This window comes from Homo sapiens, chromosome 3 (genome assembly GCF_000001405.40).
Source record: "Homo sapiens chromosome 3, GRCh38.p14 Primary Assembly".
NCBI classification, from domain to species: domain Eukaryota; kingdom Metazoa; phylum Chordata; class Mammalia; order Primates; family Hominidae; genus Homo; species Homo sapiens.
The window spans coordinates 9,978,922-9,986,088 of record NC_000003.12 but is presented as its reverse complement, the minus strand read 5'-3'; the positions used below and the strand labels follow the sequence as shown (position 1 = coordinate 9,986,088).

At 44.5% G+C, this 7,167-nt stretch overlaps 1 protein-coding gene across 3 annotated transcripts in view; it reads left to right on the top strand.

Annotated features, from left to right (window-relative positions):
- EMC3 (ER membrane protein complex subunit 3) overlaps positions 1-7,167 on the top strand; it is a 48,437-nt gene that overhangs the window by 25,030 nt on the left and 16,240 nt on the right. The gene's annotated exons all lie outside the window — the stretch shown is intronic.

Sequence of the window (7,167 nt, the reverse complement as noted above, 5' to 3'; positions counted from 1 at the left end):
AAATTACTGTTCCAGGCGTCGGGCCTGGTGGGACTGTCAGCTGAGATGCCAAGTACCAAAGCGCTTTGCAGTCTGTAAAACTGCCATTAGAGATGTAAGGAATTGTAATTATTTCCCCCCACTAGAGTGGAGGCAACTTCCTCACATATTTCATTGCAGTATTTATTTATTTATCTATTTATTTGCTTATTTTTGAGACGGAGTTTCGCTCTCGTTGCCCAGGCTGGAGTGCGGTGGCGTCATCTCAGCTCACTGCAGTCTACGCCTCCCGGGTTCAAGCGATTCTCTTGCCTCAGCCCCCCGAGTAGCTGGGATTACAGGCCCGCACCACCACACCTGACTAATTTTTGTATTTTTAGTAGAGACAGGGTTTCACCATCTTGGCCAGGCTGTTCTCGAACTCGACCTCAGGTGATCCACCTGCCTTGGCCTCCCAAAGTGCTGGGATTACAGGTGTGAGCCATGGCAACCAGCCCCTCGTTGCAATATTTATATACAGATAAAGGAATTTGAGATGATTATAGGTGGTTATCTAGACATGTAGCCCCTCATATTAAAGTAATAGTTTTCTCCCAGCAACTTGGGATGCTGAGGCAGGAGGATTGTGGGAGACCAGCCTGGGCAACATAACGAGACCTTGTCTCTTAGAAAAACAAGCAATTTTCAGTCAGTTCTGATTACTTTCAGAAATCATCTCAGGTAAGTGCTACTATATCTTTAGCACCTCTCTCTCACATTAATTTCTCGTTTTAATAAAGAGAGTAAGCCTCAGGCTAAGAACTTTTCACAGGTAACAGTGTCTAGTTAAAATTTAATAATGTTGTTTTGTTTCTACTGTACTTAAGTTACTTTCTTTTTTGTGACAATACTGGATTTCCATTTGCTGGTAATTTAAAGATTCCTTTAAAATCATATAGATGGGAAAAAAGTTGATATATAAAAAGTATTAAATATGTAATGATACAAGCGTTGGACAAAAATTCTAACATGGCATGAGAGTGACTGAAGTTTAGGAAGCACTACTGTAACATTTTCAGTTAGTTCTTCCCAATTATGCCAAGAAGAATAATAACCATTTACTCTATATCAGGTACTATGTGAAGTACTTACATTCATTAACTTATTTAAAACTTCAAAGCAACTCTATGAGGTACATATTGTCTCATTTTATAGAAACAGAGGCTTTAACAAGTTCCATCCCACCCGTTCGTTGAGAAGAGTGCCAGGTGCGTTACAGCGTCACACAGGGTGACATTTAGGACTTCACACCAAGCCTTCTGGGTATTGGGCTTTTTCCACTATACTACAGCGATCACTTTATCTTTCTGTAGCATTAGTTTCAGAACTGACCAGAGCCAGCACCCCACCCTGGAGCGAACCTTAAGAAGTCAGCTTACTGGCCGGGCATGGTGGCTCATGCCTGTACTCCCAGCACTTTGGGAGGCCGAGGCGGACGGATCACGAGGTCAGGAGATCGAGACCATCCTGGCTAACATGGTGAAACCCCGTCTCTACTAAAAATACAAAAAATTAGCTGAGCGTGGTATGCTGGGCGCCTGTAGTCCCAGCTACTCGGGAGGCTGAGGCAGTGGAATTGCTTGAACCCAGGAGGCGGAGCTTGCAGTGAGCCAAGATCGCGCCACTGCACTTCAACCTGGGTGACAGAGCAAGACTCTGTCTCAAAAAAACAGAAAAGAAGTCAACTTACTGGCCGGGTGTGGTGGCTTACGCCTGTAATCCCAACACTTTGAGAGGCCGAGGCAGGCAGATCATGAGGTCAAGAGATTGAGACCATCCTGGCCAACATGGTGAAACCCCATCTCTACTAAAAATACAAAAATTAGCTGGGCGTGATGGCACGTGCCTGTAGTCCCAGCTACTCGGGAGGCTGAGGCAGGAGAATCGCTTGAATCCGGGAGGCAGAGGTTGCGGTGAGCCGAGATCATGCCACTGCACTCCAGCCTGGCGACAGAGCGAGACTCCATCTCATTTAAAAAAAAAAAAAAAAGTGTATTTACCACAGAAAGAAGGGCTGTAGAAAAGTGCGAAGTGGGGAAAGCTCAGACATTTAGCATTTTCTGGCACCTGTAAAATTTCTTATTTTAGCCTTACATTAGCACTGAAGCAGATACTCCTTAACCCATTTTTACAATTCCAGGGAGCCTGGAAAAGTTAAGTAGTCTTCCCAAAGTAGGGAAATATTGTGCCTGTACTTGAACTCAGATCAGTCTCACTCCCAGGTTAAACCCTCTTCAACCATGATTCCTGCTGTCGTAGATTCTCTGCCATGATTTTCTGCCCATGGTTCACTATTAGAGCAATGGTTCTGAATTATATCAGATCCAAAGCTCTCTTTTGTAACCACAAAATGAAATTCACAGTTAGTGTAGTCTGTTTACAAGAACCTTTTTTTTTTTGGAGACCAGAGTCTCACTCTTGCCCAGGCTGGAGTGCAGTGGCGCAATCTTGGCTCACTGCAACCTCTGCCTCCCCAGCTGAAGTGATTCTCCTGCCTCAACCTCTCGAGTGGCTGCGATTAGCGGCATGCGCCAGCATGCCTGGCTAATTTTTGTATTTTAGTAGAGACAGGGTGTGAGCCATTGCACCCAGCCAAGAACGCTTCCTTAAGAAGGAATGTAACAGCCGGACACAGTAGCACATGCTTGTAATCCCAGCACTTAGGGAGGCTGAGGTGGGCAGATCTCTTAAAGTCAGGGGTTCAAGACCAGCCTGGCCAACATGGTGAAACCCCATCTCTGCTAAAAATACAAAAATTAACCAGACACGGTGGCATGTGCCTGTAATCCCAGCTACTAGGGAGCCTGAGGCAGGAGAATCACATGAACCTAAGGAGTAGAGGTTACAGAGAGCCGAGATGGCTGCACTGCACTTCAGCCTGGGCCACAGAAGGAGGCTCTGTCTCAAAAAAAAAAAAAAAATTCCACAGATTACCATTACGCCCCCTACAGGGCAGTAACACCCCCATGAAGAACCAACCACTGCTCTAGAGAAAATGTCTCTGCTCATAATTGCTGCATCCCTTAAGTGAGGTAGTTGGATTATACCAGCTCTGACATGGAGTGGCTCAGTCTCATCAGGTCATCATTTGACTTGAGCAAAATGCTGTACATGCTGAACCAGCCTAAGTCCAAGAAAAAGGTGTGTTTTAGTTGTAAAACTTTTTTTTTCTTTTTTTTTTTTTAAGTGACAAGTCTTGCTGTGTCACCCAGGCTGGAGAGCACTGGCACAGTCAAGGCTTACTGCAGCCTCAACATCTCAGGCTCAAGGATCCTCCCACCTCAGCCTCTCGAGTAGCTGGGATTATAAGCGTGTGCCACCACGCTCAGCTAATCTTTAAATTTTTTGCAAAGATGGGGTCTCCTCCGTTGCCCAGGCCGGTCTCAAACTCCTGAGCTCAAGTGATCCTTCCATCTCGGCCTTCCACAATATTGGGATTATAGGCATGAGCCACTGGGTATAGGCATACCCAGCGATATAAAACATTTTAATAAATATACTATAAATGTCCATTAGCAGCAGGGCACGGTGGCTCACACCTGTAATTCTAGCACTTTTGGGAGGCTGAGGCAGGCAGATCACGAGGTCAGGAGATTGAGACCATCCTGGCTAACAAGGTGAAACCCCGTCTCTACTAGAAATACAAAAAATAACCCGAGCATGGTGGGACGCGCCTGTAATCCCAGCTACTCGGGAGGCTGAGGCAGGAGAATCGCTTGAACTGGGAGGCAGATGTTGCAGTGAGCCGAGATCATGCCACTGTACTCCAGCCTAGGCGGCAGAGCAAGACTATGTCTCAAAAAAAAGAAAATTTCCATTTGCACCAGGTATGGTGGCTCAAGCCTGTAATCCCAGCACTTTGGGAGGCTGAGACAGGTGGATCACGTGAGGTCAGGAGTTCGAGACAAGGCTGGCCAGCATGGCGAAACCCCATCTCTACTAAAAATACAAAAATTAGCTGGGGTGGTGGTGCACGCCTGTAGTCCCAGCTACTCTGCGGGCTGAGGCAGGAGAATCTCTTGAACCCAGGAGGCAGAGGTTTCAGTGAGCCGAGATCACGCCACTGTACTCCAGCCTGGGTGACAGAGCAAGATGAGACAATGTCTCAAAAAAAAAAAAAATTTTTTTTAACAGGTATTAAACCAAAGCTGTAAAATACATGAATGAAATATATTAGACTAGGTTTGGGGATAGATTATGTGTAAAAAATGGTTCTCAGACTTGACAAATATACTACTGACATTTTGGAAAGGAAGAAACACTGATTCTTAAGAATTTGGAACTCTGGTTTGAGAAGTACTGACTTTAAAGTTTTATTCCAAGAAAATATCTTTCAGGCCTGGTGCAATGGCTCACACCTATAATCCCAGCACTTTGGGGGGCTGAGATGGGAGGATCCCTTGAGCCCAGGAATTTGAGACCAACCTTGGCAGCATGGTAAGACCCTGTCTCTGCAAAAAATAAATAAATAAATAAATAAAAGATGTCCTTCAGTTGCAAATTACAAAGCTTTATAACAGTACAGAGACTTATTTTTAGATATTCATGAAAATAAAAATACAAAATTAAAAATTTCTTTTAGAATTTGCAAACTTCAGAGAACACAGCTATGGATCTCAGCTTAAGAAAGTGAGTGTTAGAAAATACAGGATAATTTAAGATTGCTTATTTAGGTCTTGAAATACCTCAGGGTCACAATACTCAACTTCATTTTTACAAAATTGTTCAGCAGTGTAATTGTAGGAGATTTAGATGAATTTCTCTTGATTACACTGCCTGGGAAAGTCTTGAGTTATCGTAGACTGGACAAGTGTTTTTTCGTTTGTTTTTCTGGGGACAGGGTCTTGCTTTGTCACCCAGGCTGGACTAAAGAGGTTGAGGCTGCAGTGATTGAGGCTGCGATCGCAGTGGTGCGATCATGGCTCACTTCAGCCTCGATCTCCCGGGCTCAAGTGATCCTCCCACAGCCTCCCGAGTAGCTGGGACTACAGGCACACGCCACTGCACCTGGCTAATGTTTAAATTTTTTTGTGGAGACAGTGGTCTCATTATGTTGACTAGGCTGTTCTTGAACTCCAGGGCTCCAGGGCTCAAGCAATCCTCCCACCTCAGCCTCCCAAAGTATTGAGATTACAGGCGAGAGCCACCACGCCTGGCTGTGAACAATGGCCTTTTGATGGCCTATCATGTGCCTTGCACTCTGCTGCATGCTGTGGGGTACAGTGTAAGACAAGGTCACGACCCTGCTCTCAGAGTTTCTGTTCAAGTAATAAAATATGCAAAGGAAAAAATAACAGATACTATTAATCTAGTGCTTAGGATGTGCCAGGTACAGTCATATAAGATCATATATGTGAAGAACTCAGCCTAAAATTCTCCACTTGGCTGGGTGTGGTGGCTCACGCCTGTAATCCCAGCACTTTGGGAGGCTGAGGCAAGTGGATCACTAGAGTCCAGGAGTTAGAGACCAGCCTGGGCAGCATAGTGAGACCCTGTCTCTACAAAAAAAAAAAAAACAAAAAAAACAAAACACAAAAGTTTGCCAGGTGTCATGGTGTGTGCCTGTAGTCCTAGCTACTCGGGAGACTAAGATGGGAGGATCACTTGAGCTCCAGAGGTCAAGGTTGCCATGAGCCAAGATTGTACCACTGCACTCCAGCCTGGACAACAGAGTAAGACCCTGTCTCAAAAAAAAAAAAAAATCCTTCATTAGTTTCCTTTTGCTCTTAAGACAGTGATCAAAATACAGTGGGACCTGGCTGGGCATGGTTTTTCATGCCTGTAATCCCAGCACTTTGAGAGGCTGAGGCAGGCGGATCATCTGATGTCAGGAATTCGAGACCAGCCTGGCCAACATGGTGAAACCCCATCTCTACTAAAAATACAAAAATTAGCTGGGCATGGTGGTGCGCGCCTGTAACCCCAGCTACTCTGAAGGCTGAGGCGGGAGAATTGCTTGAACTCGTGAGGCAGAGGTTGCACTGAGCTGGGATTGCGCCATTGCAGTTCAGCCTGGGAGACAGAGTGAGATTCCATCTCAAAAAAAAAAAAAAAAATACAGTGAGACCACATGATTTTGTATAGTCTGGCTCTTGCACACCTCTCAAGTCTTGTTTTCATCACATTTTCTATAGTTCTCCTTTTTCCAGTCATGTGGCCTTTTCTCAGGTCCTCAGAGGCAGAGTGTTTACTTCTACGAGGCTTTTGCCCATTTTGTTTACACCAGCACTTTGCCAAGGTAATCCTCACTCATCCTGAAGAGTCCAGCTTAATCCTACATCCTCAGCAAACTCTCAGACCTTGACTTTCCAGACTCCATCACCTCCTGGTTATGCACTCTTGCAATACCATCCATCTCTCTCTAGGACATGATAATTGAATTTCACATTTATTCCTCTGGTTATTTGGTTAATGTCTTTCCCCCTCACTAGACTTTGACCATCGTAAGATATTTGTATTTTGATCACCGTTCTTCATGTCACCTGGCACTTAGAAGTTCAAGAAATATTTGTTCAATGAAAGAATAAATCTACCCTTGTACAGAATATGAATAGAGACTTAGGGAATTTAAGTGACTTGCTCAAGATCACATGGCTAATAAGTGGCAGAGGTGGGATTGAACCCATGTGTTCAACTCCAGAGCTTAAGTTTTTACCCATTACTCTAGACCCAGTGCTTCTTATACTGTCAATGGTGAAGGACCAGTTTTGGGGTTTTTTGTTTTTTAAATTTCTAATCTCTTATAGGCTAATACTTTTGTAAAATATTTTGATCATGTATCTGGATGTTGTGACAATGTCAAATTATTATAAAAGTCTCTAAATCCTTACTCTCAGTGTCTGTGCTTATCACAGACTAGCATTCACCACACTTTGAGTATCTTTAGACTAGCATCCAGGGAGCAGAATGTATTACATGTTGCGCCCTGTAGATAAAGTAGAGAACTGTATAGCATAATGAGCTCAGGAGGAGGAAGCAGAGAGAATTCCACGAGGGCTCCAGGCATTGGGAAAAGCTTCGTGGAGATGCTGAGACTTGAAGATGTTAAGGCATGATGGAGTAGAACTCGGAAAGGAAAGGGCACTGGAACATTCCCAGCATGTGGAGAAACTAGAATATGTGTAGTGTGACAGGGGAAACCCCGGGGTA